The sequence below is a fragment of the Homo sapiens genome, chromosome 10 (assembly GCF_000001405.40).
Source record: "Homo sapiens chromosome 10, GRCh38.p14 Primary Assembly".
NCBI classification, from domain to species: domain Eukaryota; kingdom Metazoa; phylum Chordata; class Mammalia; order Primates; family Hominidae; genus Homo; species Homo sapiens.
The window spans coordinates 5,356,475-5,376,363 of NC_000010.11; the positions used below are offsets into that span (position 1 = coordinate 5,356,475).

At 44.0% G+C, this 19,889-nt stretch overlaps 1 protein-coding gene across 1 annotated transcript; it reads left to right on the forward strand.

Moving 5' to 3' along the window:
• The first annotated feature begins 8,491 nt into the window (after positions 1-8,491).
• On the forward strand, positions 8,492-18,218 carry UCN3 (urocortin 3). Its single transcript, NM_053049.4, has 2 exons — positions 8,492-8,756; positions 17,241-18,218. The coding sequence occupies exon 2, from the start codon at positions 17,247-17,249 to the stop codon at positions 17,730-17,732; it is 486 nt and encodes a 161-aa protein (NP_444277.2). The 5' UTR covers positions 8,492-8,756; positions 17,241-17,246; the 3' UTR covers positions 17,733-18,218.
• The last annotated feature ends 1,671 nt before the right edge of the window (positions 18,219-19,889 follow it).

A 19,889-nucleotide genomic window follows, 5' to 3' on the forward strand; every position in this document is an offset into this window, starting at 1 on the left:
TTCCCCTCTTTTGTGGTATGATAGAAAGAGCATGAGAGAAATAAGAACTTTGAATTTGGGCAAGATGACAGACTGTGATAATCTAAAACTTTTCACTATGAACACATTACACATTCTGGATAAAAATACATCAGTTTATAGTATTTCTGAGCTTGCAAGAGGAAATGAGTAAGAGACTATCTCCTGGTACAAGGACATGAAAGAACTAAAAATTAAAGTTACAAATATATAAACTGAGGCCATATTTGCCCTGGGGGAAGATTACTCAGGGACATTGGTTTTAACATCTACAGGGGGCCAGGAAAGGGGGTGCTGGGCCGATACAAGGTTACATATTAGAACTGAGATGCCTGCTAAAAGTACTCTAGAGAAGCACAACCTTAATAAGATGATGGACTAAAAAAAATAAAAACAAATTTTAAAAAATCACCAGTGGCATAGAAAAATTTGCCCCTGCCTAGTTTCTAGGAGGAAAAAAAAAAGTCTTCACCAAAGAAATTGAAACATTAGTTGTGCCCCTCAGGCTTAAGGTTTGATTTTAAACACCATCACTGTGGTCCAAGAACTTCCAAACTGAGAAACTAACATGAAAATTGGCCCAAAGCATCCTGTTTCCCCAGGGAAACTAGAGGGAACAAACACAATGTATTTCTACAAGGAAAGCTTACTAGAGCTCTTAAAATGAGCCAATAATCCAAATTAATCAATATGCAAAGAAACAGCTCAACATGAATGAGAGTCAGCTCACACACACACACACAAATTGAAGGATTGGAACTCTAAGAAATTTGGATAAGAGAAATTTGTTAGCTCTTAATTAGCACTCCTGCAATAATAGCATAATCACCATACTGCAATTTTCCCACTCCTTTCTGATATACAGGTTCTCCAAATCTTTCTCCCTAAGACCTATTAGAAATTATTTTCCCTGGACTTTGCATCCACCTTAGAACAAATACACATTTTTTAATTATTGAAGTGGCATAAAAGAGGAGATCGAAATCACAAGAAAAGAGACACATTTTTAAATAGGCAGATTTTAAAAATAATTTTTAAAATAAATAACACTTCTTGAAATAAAAGATAAAGTAACTGAAATGTAAAAAGAAAGATAATGCATTAGAAGAGGTTAAAGAAAGAACCAGTGAACTGGAAATTAGATGTAACATAATTATGTTACAGATATAACACAAAGAACCAAAATAAATAAGAAACATGGAAGGGAATTTAAGACATTTAGGGAGAAAATGAGAAGTCCTCTGTATCAGTCGGGGTCCACCTTTTAGCTTGGGCAGCAGCGGGACCCACATCTCTCCCTTCAACTTTTCCAGTCACACAGATTTCTTTTAGGAGTTCTGGCCAACCCCTAACCAGAAGCATACAGGGAAGGTAATTCTGGGAAGCAGAATTCAGCTTAGCCCCATTAGCACATTATAAAGCAACCACAACTTTGTGTTTATGTCAAGTAGGAACACCAAAGGAAATAACAGAGAATGGGAGAGAGGCAATACCAAAGAGATAAAAACTAGTAAATTTCCAGAATCATTAAATTAATAAATCCTTGAATCTGAGAAACAAAATAAATACCAAGCAGGAAATATAAAAATATTTTCATGAAAATGCAGAACACCAAAGGCAAAAAGAAGATGATATCAAAAGCATCCAGCAATAAAAGATGAATTATCTAAACGAGGATAACATTTAGACCTACAGAAGACCTCTATAGCAACAATTCAACCAGAAGACAAGGCAGTGGAATAATATCTTGCCCGAATACAGTGTAATAATATCTTGCCCCTGTTGGGAGAAAATGTCTGCTAATCTAGAAGTGCATTGCCTGATAAACTATAGGAAAAAAATAAAGACTTTTTAGACAAATGAGATTGTGAAAGTTTATGATTCAGGAGCCTCACTGAATAATAAAGGAAGTTCTTCAGGTAGACAGAAATTGAAGCCAGAGGGAAGGAGTAGGATTCAAAGAACAGTGGCAAGCAAAGAAATTGATCAACGTTTGGGTAAATCTAAACAAGTATTGAGTGTATAAAATCATATCAGTGACTAACTTGGTTGATACAACTAAGGTGAACAGTTAAGATGGACCTGAAACATTAGACAACAATAGCATATAAGAAGAAAATTAATTTTCATAATTGGTCTGAGATCCTTTTTATTGTTCAAGATGAGGATAGCTATACTGATTAAACTTCCTTACATCAAATACATACCCAAAAATTTGCAAATAACCATTAAAAGACAGAAAATAAAACATAATATCATAGGGGGACGTTCCACTTTCCATATAGAGGAATGAGGACCTAACAAACCAATCCTTACACAAATAGCATCTATAAACACTGGACAGATAGAAGAATAAAATAAAAATGAAACAGCTCCTAGAGAGATTTTGTGACTGAACAAAGACAGACAGATTTTGGAGAGCAGTCAAAATTTGGAGCAAGTGACTTAAGTGACTGCCAAGGAGTGAGTTCCCCATATTTTATTGGCTTGGCCCCGAGGGTGGCTACACTTGGGGCCATGATGGAGGCAGTAGTGCAAAGCAGCTAAAACCCCACTGTATTGGACCTTGAATCAGTAAGCGCAAATACAGCTTTTGATCTGTAATGCTTTTATACAAAAGTTTATTTTAATAGTAAAATGTTTGTTCTAAAAAAAAAAAAAAAAAAACCCCACCGGTAGCCCATTGTCTCTCCGGCCTGAGGAGCCAGGGAAAAACAGGATCGAAAAACAGGATTCCTGCGGAGTAAAGGGAAAATTCCAGAGAGAAGAGACCCAGAGAAGTAGAAGCCTAGATTCTGTGTACAAAATTAGCCCAAACCTCTGGCGGACACCTGAAATATATCCATGTGAGATAAATTAAAAGCAGAGCCACGACGGTTTGCAGTTTGGCGGTGAAATTCTGCTAGAACAGAATCATCAACACTCTTAAGACCAATAGAACAGAGGCAGAATCTCTAACCACCTAACATTTAAAATGCCCAGGAGAGAATCCAAAATTTTTCAGGGTATGGAAAGCCAAGAAAATGTGACCCAGATTTAAGGGAAAATACATTCAACAGATGCCAAATCCAAGAGGACCCAGCTGTTGGAACTATCAGACAAACGGCAATGTTAACTATGCTCAGTGGGGTAAAGTACATGTTCTTAATGAGGGAAATGATATAAAATATTAGCAAATAAATAGAAAATATTTTTTAAAATAAAATTTTAGAATTGAAAAATATTACATCTGAAATAAAAATAATCAGGCTTAATATAATGGCAAACGGAGATCACAGAAAAGATTCAGTGAACCTGAAAGTAGAACAATAGAAATAATCCAATCAGAAGAAGAAGGGAAAAAAGAGACAGATAAAAATTAACAGAGCCTCGGAGGCTAGTGGGACAATTTCAGAACAGCCAACATGTTGATAACTGGAGTCCCAGAAAAAGAGGAGATACAAATTGGGGCAGAAAAACATTTGAATAAAAAATGGTAGTTAACCTCCCAAATTTGGTGAACGAGGACATTCACAAGTTTAAAAACCTTAGCAGACTCTAGACATAATAAATTTGTCCATACCAAGGCCCATTATATCCAAACTGCTGAAAGTCAAAGAGAAAGAGAAAATTTTGAAGCAACCAGAGAAAAATGATATATTAGATGCAGGGAAAAAATTGAATGACTATATACTCATCAGAAATGGAATGGAGGAGATGAGGAAACAATGTATTTATAATGCCAAAAGAAAAGAGAAAGCTCTGCTAATCCAGAATTCCATACCCAGAAAACTTATTCTCCAATGGTAAAAAGGAAGTAAAGACATTGTCAGATAAAAGAAAACTAAGATAATGTATCGTCACCAGATTTACAAAGGGAAAAGTGAAAAAAATTTTTCCCTCTACTCTCCTGGCTTCTCTCCACCCTCCTAGCTGGGGCCCTGTAAATTAGATTGACAGAAGACAGACTAACAAGAGAAAAACAAACACAAGTTTGTTGGCCGGTGCATCCTGCACGCCCGCAGGATAACTCAGGGATGAGGAACTCTGAGGGTGGTTAGAACTTGGGATTCTAGAGCATCTTAGCAACAGAGCAATAAATGTTTAGAGAAGTGACAAGACAAGATAAAATACTTTGAGTTTTTAGGGGAGGCAAATTGCAGGAAGGTAAATATACGAGGAAACTAATGAAAGATAAGGGCTAGTGAGTAAGGTTTGTTAGGTAGATTTCTCTGGCTCCTCCCGGCTAATAAAACTCTAGGTTGTCTCAGGGGATTAGGTCTGTTCTTCCTGGTAGAGAGAAGGGCAGACACCTTTACAAATGCATGTCCTGCCTTGGCAAATATGGGAAGGGTAAGAGCTTTTCTATCAATAGTATCTGCTTTTCCTAAACTGTCGTCAGCTCAAAATAATCCTTATGCCATATGGTATATTTTGGAGTCACATAGTTGGCTACCCTTCATCACAGAAAAACATTTAAAAATATTTGAACTGAATGACAATGAAAATACAACCCATTAAAACTTGTGGCATGTGGCTAAACCAATGCTTAGAAGAAAAGTTATATATTAAATAGCTTTAGATGGTTAGATTGTAAAATACAGGGAAAATGAAAATGAAGACTTCATCAATACAGCAGATGGCAGAAAAGAAAAAACAATAATAAATGGAAGAAAAGGGGGATAAAACTGTGCAAATAGAAATCACAATGTAAGATGGATGGTAGAAAATAATTCAATACATCAGGAGTCAAGTATCTTTACATTAGTTTATTAAAGTCCTTGGTTAAAACACAAAGATTGTTAGATTTAATTTTTAAAATTTAAATATATACCATTTACAAAGTAATTCTGAAACAGAAAAGACTGGAAAAATACAGCAAGCAAAAGTTATCCAACGGAAAGCTGGGATAGCTATTTTGATATCAGGCAAAGCAAACTTTATGAGAAGTATTATTTAGGATGAAGAGGTTAACAGCAAGATGATAACATGAAGAATTTATATATGCCAAACACTCCAAATATATAAAACAGAAATAGACAGACTTACAAGACAAAAATTGACAATCCACAAACACAACAGGAGGTAAACACACACCCTGCTAAAAGTGAGAAATCACGAACAAAAAATCAGTCAGAGAAAATAAGGGAGAACTGAAGAAGAAAGATGATGCTAATATTCTGTGTTCACATACAACTTTATCAAGTTATTGCAATACTATCTTGACATCAACCTTGCTAAAAACAAACAGGGAAGGCACAGCAATCTACATTTTAAAATACAGGAGACAGAGGACTAGGGAATGTGGGTGTCTGTGAGAATCAAACAGCCATGCTAGCAACCCAGGCAGAAATGAAAACGGACCTTCCCGGCTCCTCAGTAAAACTTCTCTCCTATAAGTCAAGCTCTCTCACACTTTGCTAATTCTCTCGTCTATCTTTATTTTACCGCCATGCTCAGATGTTGAGGAAATAATTATGTTATTAAGTGTAAGTGCTTTGAGCACTTTGGAGAAATGAGCTTTATAAATATGAGCCATTTCTATTCACCTGAGAAGCTGATCAGCTTTTTCTTCTCACCCTGGCCCTCTTTGTACCCTCTACAGGACATTTACATCCCTGAACAACATGCTCATGCTGAGTCCACGGAAGATACCAATGACTCACAAAGGCCAGAGAGAAGTGCAAGTGTAGAAACACGCCACATTCACACATCAGCCATGGGGAGGGAGGGAAATCGTTGTTTGCTAGAAATGACACTCCAGAGGTTTTGCTACTCATCATCTTCTTGCTGCCCAAGCCTCTGTTCAGTCCCCCACCAGATGCGTCATTCAAGTTGTAAAGCAAATGTACTATTTCTTGACATTTCTAGAAAACTACACCCTGGACTGCACCCTTACAGCTGCTCATGTCCATGAAACATTCTGTGTGGAACTCCATCCAGGCTAGCAGAAGTCACTGGACAATGCCAAAGCCCACCCAGGATGGACCAGTGGGAGCCGATGAGCCTGCTCTGTGTGACGAAGGGACGGCAGGCTCCAAGAACAGCCACCAACACCAAGACCCTTCAGTCCCAGCGAGGTGGCCTCAGGGTAGGAGGATTTCTAGGAAGTTCAGAGGAAACAAGGTAAGAAAAGAAGCCAGGGTTCATCGTCTCTCTTTCTAAACCCCATACTGTAGGGAAGTGGTCCTCATGCCCCCAGAGGACATGTCTGGAAACATTTTTGATGGTCACAGACAAAGAGGGGAGTGCTACTGGCATCTAATGGGTAGATGCCCAGGATGCTGCTAAATTCCTCCAGAGCTCAGGGCAGACCCCAAGGCCAACAAGGAATTACCTCACCCAAAATGTCAACAGTGCTGAGGATGGGAAACCCTGCCCTGGGAGACCAACGTTGCCAGATCCCTGGCATCTCAGAGCCCATAAGGCAGACAGGAGAGTTAAACTCAGGTGGAAATCTACCCCTCAACCTGCATAAATTCCATTACTGCATCATTATCTGAAATGGAAAGCAGAACAAAAACCTCACAAAAACTAGAACAAATGAATGAATGAAGGAACTAATGAAGGAATGAACTAATGAATGAATGAATGAATGAACTAATGAATGAATGAATGAAGTAATGAATTTGAATTGAAACACAGATTCAGTTTCATGTTGCCTCCAATCTCAAGAGGATCCTAGCCCAGGCAGCTCTGAAAGAAGGAAGAGAGGGAGGTCCAATTTCCTATCTCCATAAAGAGACTTAAAATGGGGAGTACAGAGTCTTGAAGTCCTTCCCCACAACAGCTTTCCATTTGTTCCTCCAAATGCTCATGGGCTTTAAAGAGTTTTGGTAATTTCAGAAGACCTCTTACCTCTTCACCTGCAGGAATTCACGAGAGTGGAGCAGCCGTCTGGGAGGAGGGCTAGGGACAGCCAGCCGGTCTTGCAGGGCCCCTTGTCATCAGCTCAGCCCAGTGAAAGGAGCACTGAGCCCAGCGTCAGGCCTGGTTCTCACCTGACTCTGTCACCCTGGGCCTGTGGGGTCCCAGCAGGTCACTTTTTACAGCCTCAGCTTCCTCATCTGTGAATAAGGGGTCAACAGACCGTAGTCTCCCACATCTCCCCATTACATATGGAATAAACTCCCAACTCCGCAGGCCTTTGGAGCACCTTAGTGCAGAGCAGCCTCTGCACCCACCAACACCTCCCTCCCATCGTCCTCCTTCTCTCCCGTTCCTCTCAGCCCTGGCTCAGTCCATGCTGATCCATCCTTTCTGTCTGAAACCCCTCCTGCTCTCCTCTCCTGTCTTGAGTAGACAGGACTGCTCTCTTCTGTAGCATTTTTTACCTACCTTTCTTTCTTTCTTTCTTTTGAGATGGAGTCTCACTCTGTTGCCCAGGCTGGAGTGCAATGGCGCCATCTCAGCTCACTGCAACCCCCACCTCCCAGGTTCAAGTGATTCTCTTGCCTTGGCCTCCTGAGTAGTTGGAATTACAGGCACTCGCCACCATGCCCGGCTAATTTTTTTTGTATTCTTAGTAGAGCCGGGGTTTCACCATGTTGGCCAGGCTAGTCTTGAACTCCTGACCTCGTGATCTGCCCGCCTCGGCCTCCCACAGTGCTGGGATTACTGGCATAAGCCACCGCACCCAGCCTTCCCTACCTTTCTAAACCATGAGGCCCTGTATGGTTAGGGGCCACAACTTACTTATCTCTGAACTCGTGGGTGTCTTGGCAATACCTGGTACACAGTAAGTCCTCAATAAATATAGGATGCATAAACGAGTAAAATCCAAGCCATTTCCCACTAAAACCTCCAGACCTCTGGTGTATGATGACCTGCTGTCATAGCCCAAAGGAATGGTTGAGTTTCAGGTATCCAGAGAAAAATGCAGGTGTAGAGCTTTCCCCTCAAACGTATTAACAAATAGATGGTGCTCAGTCATTTTCGCGGCAGGCTGCAGAGAAATCTTAAACTTTCGTGTTGTTTCACTGAGGGTACGGCAGAAGAGCCCAAGGAATGTGAAAGGAGAAACTTGCATAATTAGACTTTATGTGGGGAGTAGGCACCGAGTGTGTGACAAGCACAAGGGGCTACGTGTGCGGCCAGATGACGCTGCACGGTCAGAACCCACAAAACAACACGGCAACAGGTGGATTTTAAACCCCTTCTCTGCTTTCAAAGCAGGTCCAGGCTCTACATTTACAGAAGGAGAGTTAGGGCAAGGGGAATGTGGGGGAAACTGAAATTAGTTAGAACTAAGATCAGCAATAAAATTCTTCAAAGACACTGCTTCTCACTTTACCAGGATTTTTGTTTTGTTTTGTTTTGAGTTTTTATTTCTTCTTTTTCTTTTTTGTTCTTTGCTTTTATCAATGAAGCAAGTTGCTAGGATGCAAAAGGAGTTGGGGGGTAGAAGGGCGGGGTGGGAAGCAGAGGTGGGAGGGGTCGAGGTTGGAGCACCTGTCGTCTGCATGACGTGGACGGCTGGTTCTGGTTGTATTTTAAATGAAATCTCATCCCAGCGTAGACACCACGTCTGGAATTACGATCCACCCTGTGATCTGTCACTTTTATATACACACAGGGGAGGGGACCGTTTCCATAGAGAGGGAATATCACAGCCCACTTAGGAACAATACCGGAGAAGCAGGAGCCGAGACCCCGGAGCAGCCACAAGTTCATGGGGACGTGCACGGGGCCGCCCTCCTGGCCCTGAAGCTGCGCCGGCCTCCCTGAGCGTTTCGCTGCGGAGGGAAGTCCACTCTCGGGTAAGCTTGTGGCTGGGACTGACTTATGAAGGGTAAATGTATCTGCCCTAATTTAAGCAGGAGGTGCCATGCACTAGACAGGTGTGAGAGATGAGAGCTGCTAGCGCCCCTGGGTGGAAGCCCAAGGGAGCGATGCTGAACGCCCCCCACCCAATCAGCAGAAATCAGCCCCAAAGGGACCAGGGGAAGTTTCTCAGGGAGGCACAATCACATTCCCACGTTGGTATAGAGAGACCCTCTTTCCAAAGGTGTTAGATCAGAGGCAGAAGGTGTTCACACAAATCTGTTTTCTCTGAACAGAGCACAGCTGTGCACAGGAAAGTCAGTCCTCGGAGACAGTTTACAAATGGGGATGGGGTAGGGATGCCGGGGCTAATGGGAGCCACAGGACATGACTCCACGCCGCCTGCAAAGCAGCGAGGACACCTGCACTTACTGTTTACCTGTGCCACAAACCTTCACCTGTGCCATCTCCCGTCACTCTCGGGCACACCTGTGAAGCAGGTAACGTCTCCTTCCTAGGACGCGGCAAGTGAAATGCAGGTTAAGGGATTCACCCAAGAAAAGTCAGAGGCAAGGGAGTTTCCCCAGCCAGGTCCTCTGCCACCAAAGCCCAGAGCCCTTTGCCACACTAGGAACATTGCGGGGGTGTGTGCAGATACCTACAATGGCTAACTCCTACCTGTGAAGGGGAGATGGATGTTTGATGTTTATGTTTTCTGAAAATTCCTGTTCGCAATTTCTTTCCCAAGCATAGCCACCTACCAAAAATAACAAATGTGAGATTTTTAAAACGTTTTAAGTGGTCTAGTTTCAGTTTAACTTCTTATCAGTGTTTGCAGACAAACGGAGCCCACAGGAATAGCTCTGCACTTGGCAGAGATGTGTGATCAGTACTGTTTGCCTCCTGCCTTTGCTGCTTCATGTCCTGTCCTCTCCCTGTGAGGTGCTGGGAATTGGAGGCTGACCCAGGTCCCTCACGTTTCAGTGCTTGGCTCTGCCACAGCTCCCAGAAGTAACTGTGTCTCTTTACAGCATCCTCGACAAGTGCTACTGTCACCATAGCCCAAAGGAATGGTTGAGTTTCAGGCACCCAGAGAAAAATACAGGTGTAGAGCTTTGCCCCTCAAATGTATTAATAACTAGATGGTGCCCAGTTATTTTCGTGGCAGACTGCAGAGAAATCTTAAACTTTTGTGCTGTTTCACCAAGAATATGGCAGAAGAGTCCAAGGAATGTAAAAGGAGAAACTTGCAAAATTAGACTTTATGTGGGAAGTACAGAGTATCTTTTCTTCTTTGGGGAGAGTTCCTTTTCTTTTATCCTATAAACCCTAAACAAATCTAAACAGATCCTAAAAAGAAAAGTCCTGGAAAGAAATCTGAATCTACCTTCCAGCCCCCAGCCACTCACACACTTTGATGGTGAAACCATCCAGGGTTGCAAAGAACCCTTACATTTTAAACGATCTAAAACTAAGCTCAGCACCGGGCGTCCCTATCATGTCCAATTCACAGTTCTGGGAGGTTCCTTTGCTGTGTAACTTTGCATCATTGCTGATGGTAAGGGGACACCTTTCAATACCCTCACAACCGTGTGCAGGCTAGAGCTGAGGGTTTGCAGAGAGAGAAAGGTCTGCTACCTGCAGATGCACCAAGAACAGAGCGCCACGCAGGACACTTGCTCCCTGACACTTTCACAGATTTTTCCACACCTTCAGCACCCTAGCCGTGATTACAGTATTCTTCTCTGATGGTAGACTTGGGATTTGAAAAATAAGAAGGTAATGCATTTTTTAAAAGGCACAGTATTTACAAATTGACCCCAAAAATGTGAAAAAGTAAATATAGAGGTAAAAGGGATCTCACTCCCTCTCCCCAATGCCTTGCTTTTGTAACTGAGATGAGACAGGTAGCACTTCCAGGGAACACATCCAGAGGCTAGCCCATTGCAAGGGAAAACCTGAACTTTTTCACAGGAAAATTGCAGAAAGTTACTTAGACGAGGCTGTTTCATGTTCAGAAGCCCTCATCTTTCAAGTGACTCTAGGTACACATGTATGATTTCATAATTAAAAAACAAAACCAAAAAAGTATGCCATATAAAAGATTTTTTCCTCTGTGATACGTAACAACATGATTTGCAGAGAGAATGTACATCCATGAAAGAATTTAAAAGAGGTTGTTTTGCTTTGGAAAATAAATTGATTTAATTAAGTGCCTGAATACTAATCTGAATTTCAATTCATTCAACAAATATTGATTGAGAATATGATTTAGTATAAGGCACTATTGGCCATGTCAGGCTTTTCCAAGCATCCTGAGTCACTGCTGAGAGCCAAATGACCCAGAGGGATAGTGAAAGGCTTGGCATATTTAGCAGAAATGGAGACACCAAAGAAATATAACACCCAAAGTGTCTTTAAGGGGTGGAGATAGACAGGTAAACTCAAGTGTTGATTTACACTAAAGGGCCAGTCCGTGTGAGCAGAGCCCCAAGATGGGCTTGAACTCAGAAAGTAGTCTGAGTTCTCAGTAATATTTGCAATTATTCTGCAAAGTTCTAAGTGCTTGAGGGTAAATGCAGAATGCTGCCCCGGGAAGGAAATAGAAAGGAGCAGGGAGGGGTTCCCTGGGCTGGGGTGCAGGGTTTGAGTGAGGAAGCAAAATAAACAAATGGGGTGGTGGGGCAGTGGGGAGAGAGCCATGTGGAACCCACAGAGGGAGGCCTGAGGGTAGCTCCAGGGTTGCATCTCAGCACCCTCTAATTTTTTTAATTTATTTATTTTTTTGAGACAGAGTCTCACTCTTTCACCCAGGATGGAGTGCAGTAGCATGATCTTGGCTCACTGCAACCTCCACCTCCCAGGCTCAAGCAATTCTCCTGCCTCAGCCTTCTGGGTAGCTGGGATTACAGGCGTGTGCCACCACGCCTGGCTAATTTTTGTATTTTTAGTAGAGACAGGGTTTCACTATGTTGGCCAGGCTGGTCTCAAACTCCTGACCTCAGGTGATCCACCTGCCTCGGCCCCCCAAAGTGCTGGGATTACAGGTGTGAGCCACCCAGTCCGGCCAGCACCCTCTATTTTAGCTTACACCCACCCAGAGTCCAGGCGCCTTTCATTTGGTGAAAATCAAGAACTCATTTCATTCTCCCAGTGCTTTTCGTAGAGGGACCTCTGGCTTTCAGAAGTAGAAAAAGAAAGAAATCAGAACAAAGATTCTCGAACTCAATCCCCTGCTCTCACAGAGGAAAATAGTGAGGTCCTGGGCGGTTAGGCATGAGCTAGTGAGTGGGAGGGACAGGACTGAGTCTGGTAGTGAAAGGAAAAAAGGGATGAAGGAAGAAAGGGACAGAGAGACAAAGTTTCTCCACCACTTTCCCCCCAGTATTAACCTTTCCAAATTGGTTTTTGTTTTTTTAAACCCTTTCAGGGTTAGCAAGCCATTCGAAATAATTTCCAAGCTTTAAGATGCCTTCAAGGTATAAGGCAGCTAAAACCATGCTTCATACTCTATTTATGAAAAACAACTCATTAGGTCCTCTGTAAATGAGAAAGCTGAAGGTCTGCCTATTGAATGCAACATTTAAGGAAAGAAAAGCCCATTTTCCACAGGGACGGTTAGTGCACCCCTGGAACTCCGGGGTACAGCTCTAAGGAGTCCAGAGTCGGGTCAGAGCACGCAGAGCAGCGGTTCTCAGAGTGTGGCCCTCAGACCTCAGCATCAGCATCACGTGGGACTGTGCTAGAAATGCATGTTCTCAGGAGCATCCAGACCCAGTGACTCAGAAACTCTTGGGACGGGGCCCCGCAGGCTGTGTTTGAACCGCGCCTTCACATGAGTCCAAAGCACCTGAAAGTTGAGAACCGCTTACTTAGACTAAGGGCAAAAGGAGTCTGCACAGGTCAGGGTGGAGAGGGTAGCATGGAGCCAAAAGCTACAAGCCAGAGATACGATACAACAAGGACATTGCTCTGCAGGATCAAATGCTTGCTCAGATTTCCTGGTCTCTCTGTACATATGTGTATTGTGTATACACAACTGTGTGTGTAAAATGCACTTCTGAAAAGGTTGTGTGCAGACCAGATCTTCTCCTAAGAAGACCTGGAGATTATTCAGGTGTGGGTCAGCCTTGATTGAGCATCTGCTCAGACAAGGAGCTTTCATACACACATTGACGTTTCTCATCGAATCCTTCACTTAACCTTCATGAGGTGGTTATTGCCATCCCATTTATCAGAGAAGGAAATTGAAATTCACAGAGGTTATCGGCCCAAACCCTCAGGCAAATAAGGAAATAAGGACGAAGAAGGAATTCGAGCCTGTGTCTAACTCCAAAGCCTGTGTTGTTCTCACTTCGCCAGGCAACATGCCCAGATCTGGCTAGTTCATAGGTTTGGACTATTTAAAGCGAGGATCATGTGTTTTCTCATAAATTATGAAAAATATTAGTGCATAAAATAAGCTCTCAAAATTTTTGTAATGCAAAATAAATGGAACAAACAAAGCAAAACCTGATTTCTTAGACAAAAAAATTAAAGGAAAGAAAGGCAACAGCTGCAATGTGGAGAACCAAGGGAAGGAACAGGCTTTGACAGGAAATGTGCTGGGTAAACATTTATCCACGTGGGTGTGTGTGTATATGTGTGTGTATATGTGTGTGTGTATATGTGTGTGTGTATATGTGTGTGTATGTGTGTGTGTGTATGTGTGTGTATATGTGTGTGTATATGCGTGTGTATATGCGTGTGTATATGTGTGTATGTGTGTGTGTATGTGTGTGTATATGTGTGTGTATATGCGTGTGTATATGCGTGTGTATGTGTGTGTATATGTGTGTATATGCGTGTGTATATGCGTGTGTATATGCGTGTGTATATGTGTGTGTATGTGTGTGTATGTGTGTGTATGCGTGTGTATATGTGTGTGTATATGTGTGTGTATATGCGTGTGTATATGCGTGTGTATATGCGTGTGTATGTGTGTGTATGTGCGTGTGTGTATGCGTGTGTGTATGCGTGTGTATATGCGTGTGTATATGCGTGTGTATATGCGTGTGTGTATGCGTGTGTATATGCGTGTATGTGTGTGTATATGCGTGTGTATATGCGTGTGTATATGTGTGTGTATATGCGTGTGTATATGCGTGTATATGCGTGTGTATATGTGTGTGTATATGTGTGTGTGTATATGCGTGTGTATATGCGTGTGTATGTGTGTGTGTATATGTGTGTATATGCGTGTGTATATGTGTGTATGTGTGTGTATATGCGTGTGTATATGTGTGTGTATGTGTGTGTGTATATGCGTGTATATGTGTGTATATGTGTGTGTATATGCGTGTATATGTGTGTATATGTGTGTGTGTATGCGTGTGTATATGCGTGTATATGCGTGTGTATGTGTGTGTATATGTGTGTGTATGTGTGTGTATGTGTGTGTATGTGTGTGTGTATGTGTGTATATGTGTGTGTATATGATGTGTGTGTATATGCGTGTGTATATGTGTGTGTATATGATGTGTGTGTATATGCGTGTGTATATGCGTGTGTGTGTGTATGCGTGTGTATATGTGTGTGTGCGTGTGTGTGCGCGCGTGTGTGTGCGCGTGTGTGTGCGCGTGTGTGTGCGTGTGTATGTGTGTGTATATGCGTGTGTATATGCGTGTGTATATGCGTGTGTATATGCGTGTGTATATGTGTGTTCATGTGTATGTGTGTAAGGTGTGTGTGTGTGTATGTATGTACATGTGAGGTATGTATGTGTGTGCATATGTGTGCATATATATACGTGTGTGCATGTGTCTATATGTATGTGTGTGTATGTATGTACGTGTGAGGTGTGTATGTGTGTGCATGTGTATGGTTGTGTGTATGCATGTACATGTGAGGTATGTATGTGTGTGCATATGTGTGCATGTATATGTGTGTGCATGTGTATGTATGTGCATATGTGTACGTGTGAGGTGTGTATGTGTGCATATGTGTGCATGTATAAATATGCATGTCTATATGTATGTGTGAGGTGTGTGTGCGTGTATGTGCATGTATATATGTGTGTGCATGTGTCTATATGTATGTGTATGTACGTGTAAGGTGTGTATATGCACATGTGTGCATGTATATATGTGTGTATCTGTATGTGGGTGCATGTGTATGTGTATGTGTACCTGTTTGTATGTGTGCTTGTCTATGTTCCTGTGCGTCCTGTGTGTGTGTCTGTTTCCAGGGTAAGTGAAGCAGCGGGGACTTACAGGATCCTCCTTTAGAAAGAGACCCAGGCTCCCTTTGCTAAGGGTCAGCGCTGGTTCTGTCCATCGCTCACAGCCTAAGGCTGTCTGGTTGGGCTTGGGTTGGGTCCACTGCACTCATGTGTGGGAAATGGCCTCGTCAAGGCCACACTGATGAGGAGCTGCAGAGCAGAGACTGGAGCTTGAGCACCGACTGCCAGCCCTGCCTGGCCCTGCTCTGCACTGTCACCGCAAGGAACAAAATGACCCAATGCCAGCCTCACGCTGCTGAAGGCCCAGGCGAATCACCAGGTGATTTACTTACCCAATTGTTCTTATTTATTTTGAAAAACTAACGTAAGAAAAGGATTCTCCCAAGTTGATAGTGAACCACATGTTTCTTGCTTGCTTTTGTGAAAGCCAAGTATGTCTTCGGTAATAAAGTGAACTTCGAGTTCAGGAAAAGCCCTCAAATGTAAATAGCAGAGCCTTTCACTGCTTCTATCTCACAGGATAGCCCAGGGGATGGTTCATCCTCACACCGCAATGAGAGAACAGGCATGTCGGGGTGTGAGCGGGGCCCGCAGACGGCAGCCGTGCTTTCTCTAGGTGTTTAGATAACACTCCGGACATGTGCCCCTCACTGTTTCATCCTTGTGCATGATGAAGGACAACAATGAATAAATAAACGTGATGTCCTTATTACAGGGCTGGGGAGAGTGTGTGCCCGCAGACCAGGCAAAAAGGACTGACTGCAGAATGGTGGGTTTGATCTCAGGGCACAGGAAGTCAACTCTGCCCACTTCACAATATCCTCAGGGACAGTGGCCATGGGCAACCTGAACTCTGACGGCCTCTGGCACAGCTGATGCTGCTACTGTGAAGGAGCCCGGCGGGAGGGTGCAGGTGGCTCAGCACAAGCCCTTCTCCCCTGATGGGGATGGCAGTTTGATGTCTTGTTTGACACTGTTGATCAGTGAACCAGCAAGAGTCTATGACGCTTAAAGCCTGAACAGTCCAAGGAACATGAGGGTCATCGAGTCGGACGTTTGTATTGCCACAACAGTCCATATGCTAATGCTTAGGGTTTTTTTCTTTTCTTTTTTTGAAACTAGGTTTTGCTCTGTTGCCCAGGATGGAGGCAGTGGCACAATCACAGTTCACTGTAGCCTCGACCTCTGGAGCTCGAGCAATCCTCCTGCCTCAGCCTCCTGAGTACCTGGGAATGCAGGTGCACACCACCACGCCCAGCTAATTTTTTTTTTTTTTTTTTTGTAGAGATGAGGTCTTACTATGTTGCCCAAACTGCTCTTGAACTCCTGGGTTCAAACAATCCTCCCACCTCGGCATCCCACAGTGCTGGGATTACAGGTGTGAGCCACCGTGCCTGGCCAGTTTTTATTTTTCTTTTTTTAAATAAAAGAATGGATTCAATGGGTCCCTAGAGACTAGCATCCTTTCCGAGCTCTCAGTGTTTCCTTCTTGCCCTGGACAATCACCCTGACTCAGTCTGACTGATAACCAGGATCCCACACATCTTAGAGATCATAGACAGTGTTGGCATTGAGGTCCTGCGGTTGGAGGACGTTGGTGCTCCCTGGATGATACTTGGTCTGACAAAAAGACCAAGCTGACTTTGGCTTCATAAATCATAAAGTCTACAGTAAAACCAACCTAGTTATTAATAACAAATCTGATTGTTCTCAAGAAACTAGGATAGCCTAGCGAGAAACCAGCCTTAAAGATCTGACTTAGAAACATTGACTAGACGCCCAGCCATGGTCTTTAAGCAACAGGGATATATTCAGTCAGCCTTGCCAATGATGAAGGAACATAAAATTCACTTACCATTAAAATCAACTATGGTAGGCTGCTAGGTGCTTACTTAGTATATTAGTTATTCGCTTTACAGGGGCAGAGGCTGCCTGCAAAGCTGAATTAAATAAAACCCATAAATACTAATGAGGTCATGGTTCTCACACTTCAGTGATCACTGGGATCATCTGCAGGGTTTGTTAGAACACAGGCAGCTGGGCCCCAGAGCTTTTGATTTACTCGTTCTGGAAAAAGACCTGAGAATTATTTGCATTTCTAACAAAGTCCCAGCCCGGGCTGATGCTGCTGGTCTGGGGGTCATACTTGGAGAACCCTTGTAGTGGAACATTAACAACACCCTAGTAGATTTTAATCCAGGTCCTCCAGAGCACCACGCCCCTCCCATGCCCCTGCCCACATCCCTCTTTTCTGCTGCAGGGAGAGATGCTGATGCCGGTCCACTTCCTGCTGCTCCTGCTGCTGCTCCTGGGGGGCCCCAGGACAGGCCTCCCCCACAAGTTCTACAAAGCCAAGCCCATCTTCAGCTGCCTCAACACCGCCCTGTCTGAGGCTGAGAAGGGCCAGTGGGAGGATGCATCCCTGCTGAGCAAGAGGAGCTTCCACTACCTGCGCAGCAGAGACGCCTCTTCGGGAGAGGAGGAGGAGGGCAAAGAGAAAAAGACTTTCCCCATCTCTGGGGCCAGGGGTGGAGCCAGAGGCACCCGGTACAGATACGTGTCCCAAGCACAGCCCAGGGGAAAGCCACGCCAGGACACGGCCAAGAGTCCCCACCGCACCAAGTTCACCCTGTCCCTCGACGTCCCCACCAACATCATGAACCTCCTCTTCAACATCGCCAAGGCCAAGAACCTGCGTGCCCAGGCGGCCGCCAATGCCCACCTGATGGCGCAAATTGGGAGGAAGAAGTAGAGGCGGAGGCTGGACGGGAGGGCAGCGGGGTGGGGAGGGGGAGGGGAGGGGGAGGGGAGGGCGAGGGGGGGAGGGGAGGGGGAGGGTGCTGTCTGCTGGTTTGTGTTTTGTGGGATCAGTCAGTTTTACAGGTTGCTGCACTGCTGAGCCCCTCTGATCTCTTCTGGCCTTTGACCCTGTCTCCCTCCTGCTCTGTCTGTACACACAGAAGTGCAGTATTGTCCAACCTTCCCAGACACAAAGCAGCTAACGTTCCTCCCTGTACTCAGCGTCTCCTTCCTCCCTCCCCACAGCAAGAGGCAAAGTTCATGCATTCCTCCTCTCCAGTCTTCTCTCTGTTGACCCCATGCCTGAGAAGAGAGCGTTCAGGGCTCCTCTCCCACACATCAACTTCTTCCAGGGCAGAAAGAGGAGCTGCAGCACTCGCCTTCCTGCCACCGAATCCTTCCCTACCTCCTCACCCCATTAAAACAATGGCTTCTTCAACTCCTGGCTTGTCTCAGTTCCTCTTCCTTCAGCCCCACTGCCTTCAAACTCTGAGCTTGGGACAGGGAAGAGGATGAGGGAGGGTCCTGGGGAGCCAATTCCCATTCTCTCTCGGGGGGAAATGGGTCTGGGAGACCTTAGCAGGGGTAAAGGAGAACTTAAGAGTCATTCGGTCTAGACCCGTCCCTGGGACCCGGTCCCACCAAGAGACACAACCTGGGAACTGTTTCAGAGTGGATGTCATGGCTAAAAGGAGGAGGGAGCTTTCAGTTAGCCCCTTGAAACATCTCAAACTCCTCCATGGCTTGTAGGGCCTGGGGACCGCTAGCCCTCCATGGCTTTCGCACTGAACCCACAGTAAGTTCCCTGTGCTAAGCTGGGTATTGCGGCCAACACTGATGTCCAGGCCAGGCCTCTGCACTCCCCCAGCCAATGACCTCAGTGGATGGACAAAGCCAGAACTTAAAAAGAAGCAAACACCGCCATGGAGCATATAGATGATGAACTGCAAAGTGAGAGCAATTAGCGTAAAAATATAAATATGAGGAGTGCAGAGAGGAGAACCTTCAATATGAGCAAAGTTCCCGTCAAAATGAACATCAGCAGCAGCTCTGATGGCCTCCTGGCAGCAAAGCCCAGGCCAGATTCCCAAAAGAGGGGCTGTGGTCCCACTCACTTCTGCGTGGTAAGAAATCAGCAGTAAATAAAACAAATTTGTGCATGGTAAAACAACGCAGACACACACACACAAATACACACACACCAACAACTAACACCACCACCACCAACAGAGGCAAAGTCAAAAGAAAAATGAATGATAGAGTTGAAAAAATGTTTGCCACTCATATAAAAGACACATGGATGATTGATCAAATATACAAACAGCTACTCAAAATTGAAAAGAACAAGAACTAACCCAGAAGAAAAATAAGCAAGGACACGAATACATCACACACACATATACACACACAAAAATTACAGATGGCTCTCGGATACATGAAAAGATGCTCAGTTTCATTCATAACAGCTGCACTGACATACAACTTCTTACCCATCTCATTGCAAAAGTCTGTAAGTGTGGCAGTACACTCCATTTGGCAAGGTTGATGGCCACTTTCCTCCATTCCTGGTTTTGGGAGGGGGTAGAGCCCTAGAGAGACAATTTGTCAATTCTTATTACAATCACAAATTCATTTTTCCTTTAATCCAGAAATCCTGCTTCTCTCAGACATTATCTTACCGAAAAAAGCTAACATTTAAATGTTAAAAAAGTCAAGATTGAAATTAAAAGTCCTCATCTCTTAACTGGACCTATCCTCCAACAAAGTGAAAATGCAACAGCAGTTTCCACCCTGGAAAAACCACATGGTAGAGCAGAAAACATCCTGTCCCGAGCCCCAGAACACCCATGACTAAGTTCTTCATATCGTGTGTCCAGGAGCAAATTCTCTAACTTCCAGAGACGCTGATGCACCAGAAATCATGGCAAGGGCTGCACCAGCATCATCTCACTTAATTGCCACAATTATATCTCAAGGTTATTATATTTTACCTTATAAAGATGGAGACTGTGGCCCAGAGAACTTGTCCAAAGTCTCTGTGCTATTAAGTGAAAGAATCAGATTTGGTCATAAACCCTCTCCTTCCTCCACAAAGGGCTGACCTTTCATT